The 19,777-nt window shown below is 34.0% G+C and overlaps 1 protein-coding gene across 4 annotated transcripts in view; it reads left to right on the forward strand.

The window, feature by feature from the left end:
- The window catches only part of COG6 (component of oligomeric golgi complex 6), a 136,040-nt gene that overhangs the window by 39,618 nt on the left and 76,645 nt on the right, over positions 1 to 19,777 (forward strand). For all 4 annotated transcript variants that reach the window (NR_026745.1, NM_001145079.2, XM_011535168.2 and 1 more), the window contains one exon: positions 4,257 to 4,374. Coding sequence is in view for 3 of the 4 variants with exons in the window: in NM_001145079.2 (NP_001138551.1) it covers positions 4,257 to 4,374 (118 nt within the window). In the remaining variant the exon portion in view is untranslated. The remainder of the gene's footprint in view (positions 1 to 4,256; positions 4,375 to 19,777) is intronic.

Consider the following 19,777-nt stretch of genomic DNA (forward strand, 5'->3'; position numbering starts at 1 on the left):
ATAGCTTTATCTTCTCTACATAACAGCAACTTTATCTGATTAGGAACCACTTGTCTTATATAAAATGTGATCTTTGACTCCAAAATATGCATTCATTTTTGCTTTACTTACGTGTTTTGGTGGTATACCCGTGAGTTTTATTATAACTCTCACTGTAAGACTGTTATATATGTAGTTATGTTAAAACAATGTCTTTCCAAGCCATATTTTTGATAGTTTTTGTATTTTTCCATTAAATAATTATTTAAAAGTTATTTGTTATGCAGTATGCCAGTATCAGGAATAGTAGGCCAACTGTTAAAAATCTAAGAAGGATGTAACTAACATTACCAGGAAAGGTTCAGGGAGCACTAGTTTACAGAGTACCAAAAAACTGTGGTAAGGTTATCACCTACCCCTTAGTGACAGAGAGTAGCCACCCAGAACTTAACAGCTAGGGAATGGATTTCACATCTTACTAGTAGATTTTCAAACAAAACTAACAAGTCATAGTCTACAAAACTGATCAGAGATAGGATTTGGATTAGTCCCTTAATATTTTAGATATAAACTTGTTGTCATCATTCCCATAATTCAAAAGCAATGAATTAGTTTCAGTTGTAATATTATAGCATCCTGTAATAAGAGAATGATAAATACTTAGAAAACACAAGGGCAGCTGAAAGCTAGACATAGCAAATGCTGTGTTATAAAAAGATGCTGGTAAAATAATTTTTAAAATTGTTTATTTAATAATGTCCATGATGGGACTACATGAAATTTATTATTTAAAGATATTGATATCTTAGTTTCTAATGTAGAAAATGCTGGAAATAAAATAATTCAGATTCTGAAGATGATAATAGGTTTTTTTAGGCTCTGAGAATTATAATTTTTCTATCTTTGAAGATGATATTGAAGATGACAATTAAAATCTTTTTTTATTGATTGCATGTACTTTGTCTACTTGTTCACACATTTCCTCATTTAGTCAATTAAACAGTTGACTGTATACTTGTCATTCTTCTAGGTGGTAAGGAAACAGTAATTAACAAAACAGAGCTTAAACTTACATTGTAGTAGGGGAGACAAGCAAGTACAAAATAATAATTTTAGGTAGTGGTAAGGGTACTGAAGAAAAAGCAGGAAAAAGGAAGTAGAAAGTATAGGCAGTGATCATACATGAGAAGATATATGTGTGTGTGACTGTTTTTGAGGCCATTCGATAGAGGTGATATTTGAATATGGATGTGAATAATATGAAGGAGTTGGGCATGAAAAGATCATGGAGAAGAGTGTCCAGGACAAAAATACACTCTGGTGCTGAAGCTAGGAAAAGCTTGCATTTTGGAGGACTAGAAAGAAAACCAGGAATTGGAGTGTAGTGAATTGGAAGGAGTAGGGGGAGATGAAATCAGAAAGGTAGAGAGAGGCCAGCTCACACAGGATTTTGAAGGCGATAGTGGATATTTCGATTTTATACTGAGTGGATAAGATTGGGGAAAATGTGAGGGTTTTGAGTGACCTGAGCAGATTTGTGTTATAAGGTTACTCTGGATATTCTGTGAATCATGTAGTGTAGTGAGACAAAAGGGAAAATAAGGAAGATATTTAGAAAGCAGTTTGTGCTCCTGAGAAGAGATGATGATGTTTAGACTAGGGTGATGGTCTTAGAAATGGTAAACAGTAGTTGATTTTGGAGATAATTTATGTCACAGCCAATAGGACATGTATACATACTAGATAGAGTGAGGTATGAGGAGTCAAGGATGAATTTTTGGCTTTTGGTTTGAACAGCTGGGTGAATGGTATTGTTTGCTGAGATAGGGAATGCTGGAAAGGAACTGGTTGATGGGAGTGGTGGGTAATGAAGAGTTCCGTTCAGTTTTGGCCTTGTCAGATTTGATGTATCTGTGAATATACAGGAGATTTTGAGTGATCAAATAATACAGAGAGAAATCAGGGCTGAAGCTAAAAATGTCTTAGTTTTCAGAAAACAGATGACACAATGCCATGGGAGTAGGTAAGATCACTTAAGAAATGAGTATAGATAAAGAATGGTTGCTAAGGACTGAGTCCTGGGAAACTCCAATATTTTGAGTCAAGAAGAGGAGAAACGACAAAACTGGGAAGGAATAGTGGTGAAGTTGGGGAAGAAGCAGGACGCATGCAAGATCTCAAAAAATTTACCTCTCATACATTAAAACTCCTAACAAAAGGAAGATATAGAATCCAGGAAACAGGGACTCGAGCATGCTTGGATTATATATCCTTTCCTGCAAAACTTTTCTCCCTGGAATTAATAAACACTTGGCTTTTGTACTTGTTTACTTTCCTATGCCCTTATCACTATTTTGGATCCAAGCTATTTAAGAGAACTCAACATTGCATTGTCTCACCATGTAGTCCAACAAGTAATCCGCCTCTCTCCTGCCCCTATCTGATACCCTTCTTGGAGCCCTCATTCCCCTCCAGTCTAGATGTGTTGCCCTTTAGGCCTACTGCAAGCTGCTTGGCTGTCACACTGGGATTTATCTTCTTCACTAGCCTGTTCACTGGCTTGTTTTGGGTATCCCTGATTCTTTGGTCAGCTCTGAATAGTATTTACATGAGTGTAATGATGTAAATATTGAATAGTTATTTACCAGAACTCTGTGCCCATGGCTATATTAGGAAGCCTGGGGAAGGTGAAGTTTGGGTGTGTTGTGGTGGAGGAGGAGAACTGTATAAGAGAGTTTAACTCTCATCTTCTACATCAGGGAATTTGTAGATAATACCTAAAACTGAAAAATCAAGTAATGGGAGTATAGGCATGTTGGATAGAAATATGGAATGAAATGTCAGAAGAAACATCTACAATTATCTGTACCAGTTACTGGAACATAATGAGTGTTCAATAAACGTTAGTAAATTCTAGATCTGAATAACTGCAAAGTACAGCTGATAACTCCATATTAAAAAAAAAAATGAATGTAAATGTATGTTGAGTTCTCTCCAAATTTTTCATTAAATTGTTTCCATTTGTTTTCATTTAATTTGCTTCCTCTGTTGCTTGATGTACACTTTTATTCAGAGAAATACTTGTTTTCATTGCATGTGCAGGCATGTGTGGGAATTCTATCCAGTTTATTTTAGTATTTGGCATACAATATTTTTAACTAAAATACTTATTGTTTCTTTAAAATATAAGTATTATGGCTACTGGTTTAGTAATTTGCTAGTATTTTGCTGTTTGCTATATATATATGCACTTTACTAATAATTTACATTGTTTTCATGAACTATGTAAGAATTTACCTAATTTATTTTGGTTTCGGAATTGTACTGAAATATTACATTTGCAAATATTAGTATTTGCTTTTATAATACATGTGGTATATGATTTATCAGTAAACTTGCTGTGTTTTAGCTTACTGTTTAGTAGTATTTAATGCCATTATATTCATCTTTAACAATCTAAAATTTTTTAGGCATGGAAGATGTTGTTATGCCTTTAGAAATTATAATTCCTTACTGGATTACAGCATATTTTCATAACCACATGAAACTTTTCCCCTAGAAGGTTGTTAAAATCACTTTTAGTATGTGAATTAGGAGGAAAAAAATGGGAATTGTTTTATATACATACTTGTCTTAGATCTTGGCAAAAATGGGAAACCTCCTTGAATGGGTCTAAGAAATAGCCTTATACAATAGCAAATTGAGGATTATGGAATGTACTAATGTAATTAGCCATTTCAAAATGCTATCAGACTTTTCAATTAGTCTAAATATACTGCTCTGTAGGCAGCTGTATAAAAATTGAGAAACTGATTTATAGGTGTGTTATTGATATAGTATAACAGTTTTAATTAAAAGAATAACTCAGTATTTATACAATTTAAATATTTTATCAATAGAGCTGTTGATTCAGTGCTCTTCTTAAAATTAAAATTAACTGTCTTAGATAATTGAGATATATATTTACTCTAATAGAGGAAAAATAGAGATAGGGTTTTATATATCACAAATATCTGTTCTGACCCACGGTTTTGCTAAAAGAGATTGTGAAATATTGAAAACATAGTAGTTTGTTTTTATTTTTTCATCACCTAACTCAAAAGAAAAACAAAAATCCTGATTTTTAAAATATGAAACTAGAGTATTTTTAATTCACAGGTTATATTTTACATAAAAACTTTTATTTAAATCTAGATCCTTTTAAAGCATTCTACTCAGTTAAGGAACTGTTTTGTTTCAGTTTCTGTTTTGCAACCTGAAATATTCTTTGCTTTTAGTGGTATTGTTGGAAATAGTGCAACTGCATTATTGACTACCATTGAAGAAATGCATTTGCTAAGCAAAAAAATATTCTTCAATAGCTTGAGTCTTCATGCAAGTAAATTAATGGACAAGGTATGTTTGAAAAATGTAATTATTAAATTATGTGAATGTTTCACATTAAAGATGTTTTAGTGATTTTTGTATTGATTGATAACTTTTCCCATTACATTCTGTGTTCTTTTGAGTTCTTCCTGTCACCAACAACTTTCATTTTGAGATGGCTTACTGGACCTAAGTTGATAGTCTTTGTTCCTGAAACAGTATAACATTGAGTTATAATTGGAGATGGCATCTCAGGCTCCAATTTTACTACCATTTTTTTCTATCACAGAAGTTGTATAATTAAAGCAAACTTACTGTATTTAGCTGGGGGCTAAGATGACATACAGATTGGAAAACCAGAACTCTTACAAAATATTTTTTCCAAACAGCTTATATTTTTACCCCTGTTGTTACAGTTTTGTCCTTATGAAATGTATGCTCCTCTGAGTTATATAATTATTTATGAAAACAAACAAGGAAAAACATCCCACAAAAAAACAAACAACAAAATCCTCAAAGAGTCCTGTAAGATCTAATATCTTAAATTGAGCAGGGTATTTTGGCAGGACCTTAAGGAATAGACTTACAATGATCAAATCCTTCTTTATTTTTGTTTCATTATTGAGAACATGAGTTTTTCAAGGATGTGTCACAATCACCATGCTGGCTTTTTAATTGTACTACTCTATCTAATAGGCTAGCTATATTAGGCCCAGATTTTGTAATATGGTATAAAATAGTCAGTAGCAATTTAGTCCAGAATACGTGGTCAATCTTCACTTTCCTAAGTTCAGTCTTCACTTTCCTAAGCCTTAATAGGAGTCTACTTCCTGACCCACATGCATGACTCAGATTCATTTGGAAAAGCAACATGAATTTGTGGAGCTGGAATATCTACCTTTATTTTTCTTGCCTTGTGTATTTCTGTTTGCATCAACAGTTTACTAACAATCATTTCTGGTTATATTTGTTATTATGAGTTCTTATTTAGACAGAACTCTTCTAAAATAATTTATACATGATACACAAACATTAAACATGAACAAATATGTGCTAGCTGTTGAGAGTACAAGGATGAACACTCAACATCTGTTGGCCTCATTAAGGTTGCTTTTCCTTTAGTGGAAAATGACCAAATAAGTCTGGTTATTATAGAATTCTATGATTTATGAAAGACATGTGCCTAGGGTATATGCTAGCACCAAAGGAGGAGTATATTTAGCAAACTTATCTGTACTCCTTTACAGAGAGGAAGCTTTCCATAGAGAGATGTAATGGAGTTGAACTTTGAAGAACAGGTAGGCTTTAGATAGGTGAGGAAAGGAGTGCATAGAGGTCATCTTAAATAGAAGAAAGAAATAGAATATGCTAGAACATGAGTATGAGTTACCTATAAAAGAATTTTTCATTTATTAAAAAATATCACTTGTAAAGTGATGTGTTTTATATATATAAGTGGGGAGGCTAGGTTGGAAATAGGAAAATTAAAGGAGTATTGAAACTGTTTTTATTCATACATGATCTAAGGGAAAGACTCTGGGAATAGGCAAGAGGGGACAGATTCATGAAGGGTAAAGGTAAAATCTTCAAAACTTGATGACTGAATGTGGGTTAGTGAGAGGGAGTCATCTAGAATAATTCCTAGGCTAATCACAAATATCTAGAATGCAGAAAGAGGGTACAATTTGGGAGATAAAGATGGTATCATCTAAGTTAGATAAGTTGAGTTTGAGGTGCCTATGAGAGATCCCTCTGGAATTGGTCTAATCTAAAAGGGAGTGATACATTTGGATTTAGAGAGTTTTACATATAAGAGATAGTTGAATTCATGGGTTTGGATGAAGTCACTAGGAATAATTTTTTTTATGAGTAGAGCTACCAGGACACAGTCTTGGGAAACACTGACGTTTAAGAGAAGGAAAAACGTCAACAGTATGATGCTGAGAGAGGATGGCCAGAGAGGCAGGACAAAAATTAGGATAAGGTTTTATCAGAAAAGCCAAGAGAAGACAGTTTCTAGAAGGAGGGCATGGTTAATAATGACAGATGCTTTTAAAGAGTTCAAGTAGGAGGCTTGTTATCTTTGGCAATATATATGTGATAGGTGACCTAAATGGGCAATTTTAGTCCTGTGGTGGAGATAGGAGCCAGGTTGTAGTACGTAGAAAAGTTCATGGGTAAGCATATTACCCAAAGCTTTACCAATTAGAAAACATATGGGCCTCAAGACTGAAAATAGATGCATTAGGCGTTTGTATTAAAAAATTTGAAACAGAGCAATAAAATGAAGATATATGGAAAGGATGGAATTAAATTTCCGTGACAAATTAGAAAACAAAAGCAGAATTATTTGTTGAAAAGATAAACAAAATTGACAAACTTCTAGCAAGTCTAATCAAGAAAAAAAGAAAATTAGAAGTTTTTAGAAATTAGAGACAATCCACAGATGAGAATTAAAACTTAGAGAGTACCATGTGCAGTTTTGTGCTAATCATCTGAAAATCAGAATAAGATGAATGCTTTTTAAGGTGACATAAATTGGTAAAATGTGAGTCAAAAGGAAGTGGAAAGTGTGAATATACCTAAGGAAGGAAGAAAAGTTATTAAAGAACGTGTTGCCAGGCCTAGTTCAGATTATATAGAGAACTTCATTCATCCTTAGGAGGAACAGATAATTCTCCAGAACATGAAAAAATATGGAAAGCTTCCCAGTTTGTTTTAGGTAGTATAACACCGACATAAAACCTTTTAAAGATAGTCAGTAGTGGAAACCATAGATTAGTCACTTTTTAAGTTTTAAAACTTCAAAATTCAGCATTTATATATTAAAACCAAGAATGGTTTATTACATGAATATAAGAATGTTTCAGTGTTAGGAAATATACTAAATGAGTATATAAAATAAATTTTATATTCTCATATTTGATCACATTGGGGAAAATCTTAATATTAAAACAAGTCATTGATGAATACTTCCTTAACCATATAAAGAGAGATAAAACTAACAGCCAACATCATAATTAATATTGACACACTAGTGGTTCTTCTATTTAAGTGAAGAACAAGAATGCTTGCCAATACTTTTAAATAATAACCACGGTAGAAAGATGAGATAAAGAAATGAATTGTAAATATTTTAAAGGAGGAGACATTAGATTATTTATGGATGTTATGATAGTCTATTTTGAAGACCTAGGAGAATCAACTAAAAAGCTATACAACCAGAAAATGAATTCTAGTGAAGTCGTTGGTGAAAAGATCAATATACAAATGTAATTAATTTTCTTATATACCAGCTCATGAGGTGCTCAATAAATACTGGTAACATGAATGGTTCAGTTCATTTTCTGCTGGCCTATATTCCATCACTATCTTGCCATTAGCTTTAAATCTCTTGCACCCTTGCCATTTTACCACATTCACTTTGCAAAACCACCTTGAGTTAATTCAATTTTTCAATTTTTCCTGAGCTCTGCTAAAGAAAATTACATCATACAGACAGGAATCACTAAAAATTGTCTCCAACATCAGGAAAGCCCCCCAGGAGGTCCAGCAAATACTGATTGTCCTTTGGCAGCCACTCACATTTACCTCACTTATTTTCACCCATTTCCTCAAATCTACCATACTACCTCCTACTGAAAAAGTGCCAACTCTTGCTAAAACTGGATAATGGACATTAAAAAAAAATCTTTACCAACATGACGAGCAAAAGCGACATTTTGTTGTTTTTCTCATTTGGATTTCTGTGATTCTAGTGAGAATGAACATTTTAAGATATGTTTTTGGCTGTTTGTGAATTGCTTGTTCAAGTCCTTTGCCATTTTCCTATTGGGTTGTCTTGTTCATTTCTGATATTCTTTATGCATTAAGAATATTAACTCCATCATATATATTACAGACATTTTCTCCACGTTATCATTTGCCTTTAAAATTTGCCTGTAGTATTTTCTGACACATCAACTTTTAATTTTTTTATAGTTCAATAGAACTTTTTTTATAGTTTTTTTCCCTTGGGAGCATTCCATGCTTGAAAGTATTCCCACAAGAAAAAACATTTAGAATTTAATATATAATAAAGATAGCATCTATTAGTGGGGAAATGATAGATTGTTTAATACATTTATTTAGATGTATTTTCTTAGGTGTTTCTATGTTTTCACTTTATTTATTTTTTTAAGCAACAGGGTCTTACTGTTGTTGCCCAGGATCGTAGCTCACTGCAGCCTTGAAGCTCAAGCCATCCTTCTGCCTCAGCCTTCCAAGTAGCTGGGACTATAGGTGCATGCCACCATGCCCAGCTAATTTAAATTTTTTTTTTTTTCTGTAGAGACATGGTCTCACTATGTTGCCCAGGCTTGTCTCAAACTACTGGCCTCAGGTGATCCTCCTGCCTCAGCCTCCCAAAGTGCAGGAATTACAGGTGTGAGCCATCACACCTGGCCCTAGCCCTGGTTTCACTTTTGCAACAAATTTTTAATCTACTGAAGTTTATTATTGTTCAGACTGAAAACTTAGTATCTTATTCTTTCCCAAGTGGTTATCCATTTATTTTATTTTATTCCCCTAATAGTAAGTTTCTATATATTTTATTAGTCATGTAAAAGTTAAAATGAAAGTTGCAACAAAACAGGAAAACATACAGTTGACTCCTGAACAACATGGGAGTTATGATGCTGACCCCTGTGAAGTTGAAAAAATCTGCGTGTGACTTTCGACTCTCAAAATCTAACTGCTAATTAGCTATTGACTGGATGCCTTGCTAATAACATAAGCAGTCAACTCATTTTTTGTTGTATGTATTATACACTGTATTCTTACAATAAAGTAAGCTAGTGAAAGGAAAATGTTATTAAGAAAATCATAAGGGAGAGAAAATATATCTACTATTCATTAAATGGAAGTGAATCATCATAAAGGTCTTTATCCTCATTGTCTTCACATTGAGTAGGCTGAGGAGGAGGAAGAAGAGAGACTGGTCTTGCTGTCTCAGAGAGTAGCAGAGGGAGAAGACAATCTATGTAAATGTGGACCTTTGTGGTTTAAACATGTGTTGTTTAAGGGTCATCTGTAATGGATAGTAAAAGGCAACTGAAGGATGACATCTTCCAATTAAAACTTTGAACAGAATAGGATGAAAATGAGGAAAGAAAGTAATTGTAATCTGAATTTATTAATTACCAATCAATATTGCAGCTTATATGAGTTTATAGCAGTGAATGGGCTCTGATCATTATTGTTGTTGTTTTTGTTGTCATTATTACTAATTGAACCCTGGATGTTTTTCTCAGATATGAACTGGGCCATATTTAGAGTTATTTTTACATTAGATTGCGACCGTGTTATGATTCTCTTTACAACTCATATGTTGCTTGTATCTACAACCATTTCAGGTTTTTTGCAAGAATATCTTCCTTTCATCAAATTTTAATGTTCCATAATTTTATATTAGTTATATCTTTTACTTATTCTGCTTCTTGTAAATGATTTCACTTCCTCTAAAAACACTGTAGCTTTATGAAGAAAACAATATTTATTGTAGCATGTTCTTCATTAGCAAAGCACCCAAGTGGAAATTTTTGTTAATAGAATTTTAAGTGAATAGTATAATTGTTGGAAAGAATAGCTTTTAAAATAAAGGTATAGCCAGAGAGGAATTTTTAAAAATATGATTGCTTTTGTGCTTTTAAAAAGACATACTTGGGAGCTAATTCTTTATCTAGCGTGAGAAAAAGGAAATTCAAGGACATAATTTTATTGAAAGATGTACCTTTTCCCTAACAAAGCAGTTTGAAGCACTTGAGTATTCAAGTAGGCATACTCCCTTCCTTATCAAGCTCTCCTGAAATATTCATAACTGCAAATCTAGTGAAGTTTAAAGAGAATATGCATCTATACTGCAAAAGACACAATGTTGTGTCAATTTAGGCTAGACTGACATTTTCTAAAATTATTTCTCACTATAGTAATAGTGCAGTTCTAATTGCAAGGATATAGCCTGTCTTAAATGAAACCCATATCAAGTTAATAGTAGTCAGGATTGATTTGCCCAGTCCTCTGGAGAAAAAAAAACAAACCCCAAATGATTCTTTAAATAAATTGTCATTTAAATTCTAGGATATGGTTACTGCTTTGAATCTCTTTTTACTACTCATAGCATAGTATGTGGATTAGCAGCTTGGGCATCATATGGGAACTTACTAGACATGCAGATATCTCAGGTCCTGCTCCAGACCTACTGAATTGAATTATGCATTTTAATAAGATTCCCAGGAGGTTCATGTGCTCATTATAGTTTGAGAGGTGCTGTTCTGGTTGAATAGTTTGAGTTTTACATTATTCCTTACAGATGATTCTGCCAGGAAAAACAAACAGAAAACCAAATTTTTTTTATCTGAAATGCTTTAATATTTAAAAAAATAAAAGTGTGTAAAATAAGTTGTAATTTGAAATTATTTCAAACATGTTAGTTTGCAGTCCTAAATTTATCTTGGACAATTTTATTGACTTAAAAACTTAAATTCCACATATTGTCAATTACTAGAATGTATGTATTTAGAGCAAAAGGAATGTATATATTTATATATATGTATATACACACACACTTCTTTTATATATATACTCCTTTATATATATATATACTCCTTTATATATATATATACTCCTTTATATATATATATATATATATATTTAAATATATATAGAGAGAGAATGAGGAAATTAGTTTAAAAATATGAGAACTTTGTGTTTGGTTGGCTAGTCTTTATTTTTTGAAAGCAAATGGGCGAAGGGCCTTCTAAGAAGCTACACAACAGAAAATTATAGGACCTTAAATGGAAGATAGCTGAAAGAATAAAACTAAAGTTGGTAGTGGGATGAAGTTGTAGGAACAGCTTTTGGAATTTTTATGGTGCAACCTTTTTATTTTTCTCTAGTAAAAGTCAGAGCACCTAAACTACAGAAGGGATAAAAAGTAAATAGTCACAAGAACAATGAGGACTTTTGTGTATAGCTCTACACATTTAAAAAAAGAGAGGTTCTAATATATGGAATATGAAGTTTTCAATAGCTTAAATGCTTTTTTTAAAAAAATTATTGATTGATTAATTGATTGGGTCAGAGTCTGTCTCTGTCGTCCAGGCTGGAGTTCAGTGGTGTGATCTCGGCTCACTGCAACCTCCTCCTCCTGGGTTCAAGCGATTCTCCTGCCTCAGCCTCCCGAGTAGCTGGGGTTACAGGCATCCGCCACCATCTCCAACTAATTTTTGTATTTTTAGTAGAGACAGGGTTTCACCATGTTGGCCAGACTGGCCTTGATTTCCTGGTCTCAAGCAATCCACCCACCTCAGCCTCCCAAAGTGCTGATATTACAGGCATGAGCCACCATGCCTGGCCTTTAAATGCTTTTAAATGTGAAATTTTTCTGTATACTTCAACTTTGTCACTTAGAAAATATTCAAATTTTGAAATAAGTATTTAATAATAATGACTTGATGTTTAGTATGTACAATAATATAAAGAAGAAGAAGAACAAATGAGCTCACTTTTTTTTTTTTTTGAGACAGAGTCTCGCTCTGTCACCAGGCTGGAGTGTAATGCACAATCTCTCTGCTCACTGCAGCTTCTGCCTCCCGGGTTCAAGTGATTCTCCTGCCTCAGCCTCCTGAGTAGCTGGGACTACAGGCATGCACCACCACACCCAGCTAATTTTTGTATTTTTAGTAGAGACGGGGTTTCACCATGTTGGCCAGGATGGTCTCTATCTCTTGACCTCATGATCCGCCCGCCTCAGCCTTCCAAAGTGCTGGGATTACAGGCATGAGCCACTGCACCCAGCCAAGCTTTATTTTTAACTGCAGATATAGTACCCAAGTCTAAAGTATACAGTTAGTTGAATGTTTGTATTTGCATATGCTCATTAGCTATCACCCAGATAAGATATAAAACATTTCTAGCCCTTCAGAAGGCATCCTCTTTCCCCTTCCCAGTCAATATCTAACCCCGGTGTAAACTGCTGTCTGACTACTGTCTCTTGTTTTGCCTGCTATTAACTTCATGTAAATAGATTCATACAGTGTATACTTTTTTGGCCCTGACTTAACATATCTGTAAGATTCATATATTTTGCATGTTCAGTAGTTCATTTTTTAATTGTTGTGTAGTAATTTCATTATATATATTCACCACAATTTACTCATTCTGTTACTGATGGACATTTGGGATGTTTCTAGTTCTTGGATATTGTAAATAAAGCTATTATTAATAGTCTTATACATGTGTTGGTGGACATAAGTTTTTATTTCTCTTGTATGTATGCCCAGAAATGGAATATCTGGATTATAAGATTGATTAGCTTTACTAGATATTGCTAAGTATTTTTCCAAAGTAATTGTCCTAGATCACTTCACCAGAAATGTGGGAGTTTCAGTTGTTCCACATTCTCTCCAGTACGTGATGTTGTTAGTCTTTTTAATTTTAGGCATTGTAGAAAGTGTGTGGTGGTATTTCATTTGCTTGTAGTTTGCATTTTTCTCAAGATTAATGGTGATGAACAATTTTTCATGTTTATTGGCTGCTGGATGTACTTTCTTTTGAAGTTGTCTTTTAAAGACTGTTGCAGAGAGTCCTTACTGGGTTGTTACCTTTTTCTTATTGACTTATAAGAGTTTTCAAACATGTGTTTGGATACAAGTCCTTTATGGAATAATAAGCATCACAGATATTTTCTATCACTTTTTGAACTGTCTTTTCACTCTCTTAGTCATGTATTAGATTAACAGAAATTCTCAATTTTTAATTCAGTCTTGTATAACAAGCTTTTATTTCATGATTAGTTCCTTTTGTGTCCTGTTTAAGAAATCTTTGGCTATCTCAAGGTCATGAGGACATTCTTCTGTATTTTTCTCTAAGAAGCTTGATTATTTTAGCTTCCACATTTAGGCCTTCAATCCATCTCAAATTTTTGAGTATGGTATGAAGGTAGGGGTCAAGTTTAATTTGTGTGTGTGTGTGTTGTTTAAATTACTTTATTTTCCTTGCTTTCAATTTTTCTTGCCTTTGGCCTTGATCCGTGTCGTAATGTCTGGTAAAATATAACAATACCTAATACCATGTTCTCATAGTAGGTCTTCAACAGATGTTTGATAGATTGAAAAACTAGAAGAGCCTTAGAAGCTAATCTTCTCAGTCATCTTTGTCCTTAGCTACATATGTATTTCTTAGGTTACCTGAGACTTTTATGTTTTTTTCCAGTTAAGTTGATATTTAATAATTGGTTGTCTTAGTACCAGTAGTGTAGTTGCAGGTGGTTTTTGTGCTGCGATGCAGGTATAGCCTTTCTTAAATTAAAGATTCAGTCTGAGTTTGTTGGGGATACTTATCTCGGGTGAGCAATTGATGGGGCTCCGCATTAGAAAGGCAATATATGGCTCAAGGAGAAATCCTGGGCTTTGGAGTCTGATAGAGCTGTACTCAAATTCTAACTTTTCCAATCATTATGACTTTCAGTAAGTTGTCACTATGTAATTGAGTTTTTACTAAATGTAAAACAAAGAATTACGGCACAGTCAACGTAGATTAACCTGCCCTAGGTCACATAGTCACTAAGGGTGAATATATATCCAGGTCTGCCTAATTGCTAAGCCTGTGCCTACTTCCTGGTGGATGTTCCATACATAATAGTTCCTTTTAACATTTTCCTTTTATTTATTTTTAATTTTTATAAATTTATGAGATACTAATGCAGTCATGTTACATTTATATATTATGTAATGGTGAAGTCTGGGCTTTTAGTGTAATCATCACCTGAGTACTGTATATTGCACCCAGTAGGTAATTTCTCATCCCCCATTCCCCTCCCACCCTCCCAACCTGTCTGAGTCTCCATTGTCTATTATTCTACTCTGTGTCCATGTGTACACATTATTTAGCTCCCACTTATAAGAACATGCAATATTTGACTTTGTTTATTTCACCTAAGATTATGGCCTGAAGTTCCACTCATGTTGTTGCAAAAGAAATGATTTCATTCTTTTTCATGGCTGAATAGTATTCCATGGTGTGAGTGTATGTGTATATATATGTGTGTGTGTATATGTGTGGTGTGTGTGTATATGTGATATGTAACACATATATGTGTGTGTCCACAAATATATATGTGTTATATGTACACACACACCACATTTTCTTTATCCAGTCATCTGTTGATGGGCACTTAGGTTGATTCCGTATCTTCGCTATTGTGCATATTTTCATGTGGATATACACTTGATCCAGCACCATTTATTGTAAAGGCCATCCATTCCCACTGCAGTGAAGTGGAAATGGTCATAAATTACATGACCATGTATGTGGATTTGTTTGGTAATTGTGTATTCCATTGATTTATTTTAGATTATTTATTTATTCCATTGATTTCATTTTATTTAGAATCAACTTGTGCATTTTTAAAATAAAAAAGCTTTCTGAGGCTTTGATTAAATCTATAGATCAGTTGAGGAGAAATTAATATCTTAATGATACCAAGATTTCCAATTTATGAATATCATATATCTCTCCATTTACTTAGGTCTTTAGTTTCTCTCACTAACCTTTCATAGTGTTCAGGCCTTGCACATCTTTGGTTAGATTTATTCCCAGATATTGAGTGGTTTTTTTGATGCTTTTGAAACTTATTTTTCTCTTTAAATTTTATTTTACACATATGTATTTCTAGTATAGAGTTGATTTTGATCGTTGATTCTGTTTCCACATACCTTTAAGGCAGTTTGTTTTTGAGTGCAAGAGTAAGCCATTGAAGATTTGGTCTCACATCTTCATTTTTGAAAGCATTTTAAAAATATCATTGGGACTGCTGTATGGAGAATGGAAAGTGGGTATGGAGGAGCAAATTTGGAAGAAAGGAGACCACTTAGGAGACTCTTAGAGTAAGTAAACCTGGCAAAAGTGGCCTACTATAGAGTAGTAGCATAGGATGATTTGGATCATTTGCATTTGGAATATATTTTAATGGTTTAGAGATAATTCAGTAAATTAAATGAGGGAAATGAAGAAAAGAAAAAAATCAACAAATACTTTTCGGTTGTTGATCTGATTAATTGGATATCATTAATGCTTAAATACCCCCATTTAATGTTTGTAAAATAAAAAGTGATAACTATTGTTCCTACTCCCTTTTGTATTTCATACAAACTCTAAGTTCTTTAGAAGATTTTTCTTTTTTAAATAGGGCAGTGAAGACATTAGCTGGTTCTTTTCTTTTTTTTTTTGACATTAGCTTTTGTTTTTGACGAAAGAAAAATTTTAACTTTACCATATAATGCTAATTTCTGTCTTTTAAAAAATATTAACTTATAAAACAGCATATCTAATTTTACTTTTGTTTAAGATTACATTGGAGCCCATGAGTGGGCTTCTATTAATCTATAATTGTTTCTGTAATTTTCCATGTTTATCTTTTTTTTTTGAGAAACAAATGGTAAACTCAATGATATTCTTAAAGAAGTCTGCCTTCCTCCTCCACCTGTAACATGTAAGAATCACCGGTTTGAAAAGTTTAAAGCATATGAGTCACAAGGATATAAAATTAGCTAGCAAAATTTCAATGTAGCAAAACATTTAGGAAGAAAGGATGCGTTATGTAAACTTGAAGAAGGCCTCAAATAGGTTGTAAGATACTGGGGCCATTAGTGCTCATAGACTTCAATGTGGTCACGATCTTAAGAAACAGCTGTTAATAGCACCTTATCATAGATTCCCTACAGAAGAATCTAAGAGCTACAGCATCCTCTCTGAAAAAATTAACTTTATAGAATTCAAGTAAAAATATCACCTATGAAAATCAAAATTAACACTTCGGTGTAGTGGTTATAAGCGTGACCTTTGGAGTCAATGCTTGGGTGAGAGTCTAAGCTCTGCCCCTTCTAAGAACAGTGGGACCTTTGGAAGGTTATTTAATCTGTCCCTACTTTAGTTTCCTCATATATAAAATTTGATATTATTCCTTCCTCCTCCTTCTCATCAGTCTTACTCATCTTCTGTAAAATGGGAATGATATATACCTTAGGCTCATTAGGATTAAATGAAGATCACATGTAAAATACATGGTACAGTTTTTAGATTATTTTTTCACATTACAAAATACTCATTTTGAAGATAGAAATATAAAGAAAGTTTAAACATGACTATAGGTAACATTCAGCATTTTTAATATTTCAGTCTTTTAAAAATATGAGTGTACACACACCTGTACACATGATGTGCATACAGTTTTGTCTTTGTTTTTGTTTTTGAGATTGAGTCTCGCTCTGTGGCCCAGGCTGGAGTACAGTGGTGCAATCTCACCTCACTACAACCTCCACCTCCTGGGTTCAAGCGATTCTCCAGCTTCAGCCTCCCGAGTGGCTACGATTACAGGTATGCGCCACCATGCCCAGCTAATTTTTGTATTTTTAGTAGAGACGGGGTTTCGCCATATTGGCCAGGTTGGTCTCGAACTCCTGACCTCAGGCGATCTGCCCGCCTCGGCCTCCCAGTGCTGAGACTACAGGCGTGAGTCACCATGCCCAGCCCTGATGTGTATCTTGCATTTTTCATTTAACATATTATTGGGGCTTAATAAAATCTTAATTCTTTTTTTTGGAAACATCTTTAATACTGTACTTATGGATCCCATTCTTCCACGTAGAAGCCAGTTTTAGATGAATTATTTTAGTTCATTTTCCCTATTAAATAGCATTTATAATGCCAAAATATTCCCTCATAATACTGTTGGAACATGTCTGTTGTCCAGAGGCTTATTAAGAAATGACTTACTGTTTAGTCCCTTGGTATTTCAAAACAATTGATTAAATATGTAGTGGTATATGTATATGTTTTATGTTGTAACTATGCTGCAGGAACATAAATTGAATGTAAGTGACCATAGTCAACAGTTTTTATTGATATCCATTATGCTTAAAACATTGTGAAAGATAGAGCAGTTAAGAAGATATGTGCCTGAAATAAGGAGTCTAATCTGTTTGAAGTAGACGTTCTCACATGTCATTTTAGTAGCCTTGTACTTTGGATTTAAAAACAAGCAAAGATGTTTGCTTATTGTCCCTAAGGGAGTATGCTTTGAATATAACCAGTTATTTTGTATCCATTCATTCACATGAACCTACTTAGGTTAGTGGAACATAACCATGGTATAGGTATTTGGAAGTAATGTGGCCATGTTTGCAACAAAGCTTACCTGCCCGAGCAAGTACTTGCATGCCTGCTGTAGATACTCAGCGAAGTGTCATGTGGCCAACGTCAGGTTACAACTCTAGTTAAGATTTTTGAGAGTTTAAGATCATGACAAAAATAGAGGGAAAAGTCAAACATACAGAATAAGAAAGAGGGAAATCTTTATTTGTAAGGCAAAAGTTCACATTTTCTTCAACTTTCTGTCAGTATGTAAGATTTCTATGAATAGCTCAAGTCCTGGCATAAGTAGCAGTGATAATATTAACACCTCTTTCTCCCAGTCACATCATTCTGAGGATGCATCTGCCACTCACTTACTGATGCTGACTGGTTTCCAAGGAAGTGGAGTGTGAATAAACTTGGATTTTCTACACAGCTTAAAGCTTATAGGAATTTCTGTATTATGATTATTGTTTTACATGAAGTTCATAAATTGTTTGTTTCTAATGGTTGCTACTACCTGTTTTAGGCTCTCTAAATAACAAAGCCCACTTAATTCTAGTATTTGGCCTCCACAGCCTTATATGGAGATATGAAAGACATAGTAAAGAGGGTCTCTTCCCTAAGGGAGATTATGGTTAGTATAAAGTAAGTGCAAGAATGCATTGGAGGGACTTCAAAAGAAATATAGACTTGGCCAGGTGCGGTGGCTCACGCCTGTAATCCCAGGACTTTGGGAGGTCAAGGCGGGTGGATCACGAGGTCAAGAGATCAAAACCATCCTGGCTAACAAGGTGAAACCCCGTCTCTACTAAAAATACAAAAAAATTAGCCGGGCATGGTGGCAGGCGCCTGTAGTCCCAGCTACTCGGGAGGCCAAGGCAGGAGAATGGCATGAACCTGGGAGGTGGAGCTTGCAGTGAGCCGAGATCATGCCACTGCACTCCAGCCTAGGCAACAGAGTGAGACTCCATCTCAAAAAAAAAGAAAAAGAAATATAGACTTGTCTCTTACAAAGTTTAACCATTAGAAATGAATTTTACAAAATGAAACTAAAGTGACAAAAGTGAGCTATTTCTCCTCCTTAGATTTTCTTTCTGTTATTCTGCTACAGGATTTTATAGTCACAAAGTTTGTTTATCTGAAAAACTGCCATAATTTTCACTTAGCTTTAGAAGTGTGGTTCTTACCTTGTTGCCGATCTAATGGATGTGTGTAAAAACACCTCATAGAATGGCAGTTTGTTGAATGACTTGAGTTCAAGTAGCACTCACTTGCAATGATTTACCATCAACTCTAACTGTGGCAAAGTGTGACTTTAGCCTTAAATTTAAACTCCTTAAAGACCTTATTTCAAGGGGGAAAAAAATTTCCTTTCAACTTTCTCCCATCAGTGTGTAAGTTTTACATCATTGGTCTTCTGTTTTGTTTGGCAATTAAAAATCTCTTGTGTTAATTTTTGAAAGTTTTTTTTTTTAAGATTTATTGCTTCCAAGTGCAACAAAAATAAAAATAAATAAATGGGATCTAATTAAACTAAAATGCTTCTGTATAGCCAAAGAAATAACCATCAGAGGAAACACACAACCCACAGAGAAAATATTTGCAAACTACGTATCTGAAAAAGGACTGATATCCAGAATAGAAGGAACACAAACAAATCAGCAAGAAAAAAACAAATAATCCCATCAAAAAGTGGGCAAATGAGATGAACAGCCATTTCTCAAAAGAAGATATACAGATGGCTAACAAACATATGAAAAATGCTCAACATCACTAATCAAGGAAATGCAAATTAAAACCACAGTGAGACACCACCTTACTCTTGTAAGAATGGCCATTATTAAAAAGTGAAAAAAAAAACCATATTGATGTGGATATGGTGAAAGGGAATGCTTATATACTGCTGGTGGGAATGTAAATTAGTACAACCTCTATGGAAAACAGTAGGAAGATTTCTTAAAGAACTAAAAGATCTACCATTCAATCCAGCAATCCCACTACTGGGTATCTACCCAAAGGAATAGTAGTCATTATATCAAAAAGACACTTGCACACATGTGTTTATTGCAGCACGGTTGCAGTTGTAAAGATATGGAACCAGCCTAAGTGCCCATCAACTAATCAGTCGATAAAGAAATTGCAACAACTTGAATGGAGCAGGAGGCCATTATTCTAAGTGAAGCAACTCAGGAATAGGAAGCCAAAAACTGTATGTTCTTACTTGTAAGTGGGAGCTAAGCTATGGGTACACAAAGGCACA

The sequence above is a fragment of the Homo sapiens genome, chromosome 13 (genome assembly GCF_000001405.40).
Source record: "Homo sapiens chromosome 13, GRCh38.p14 Primary Assembly".
Classification (NCBI taxonomy): domain Eukaryota; kingdom Metazoa; phylum Chordata; class Mammalia; order Primates; family Hominidae; genus Homo; species Homo sapiens.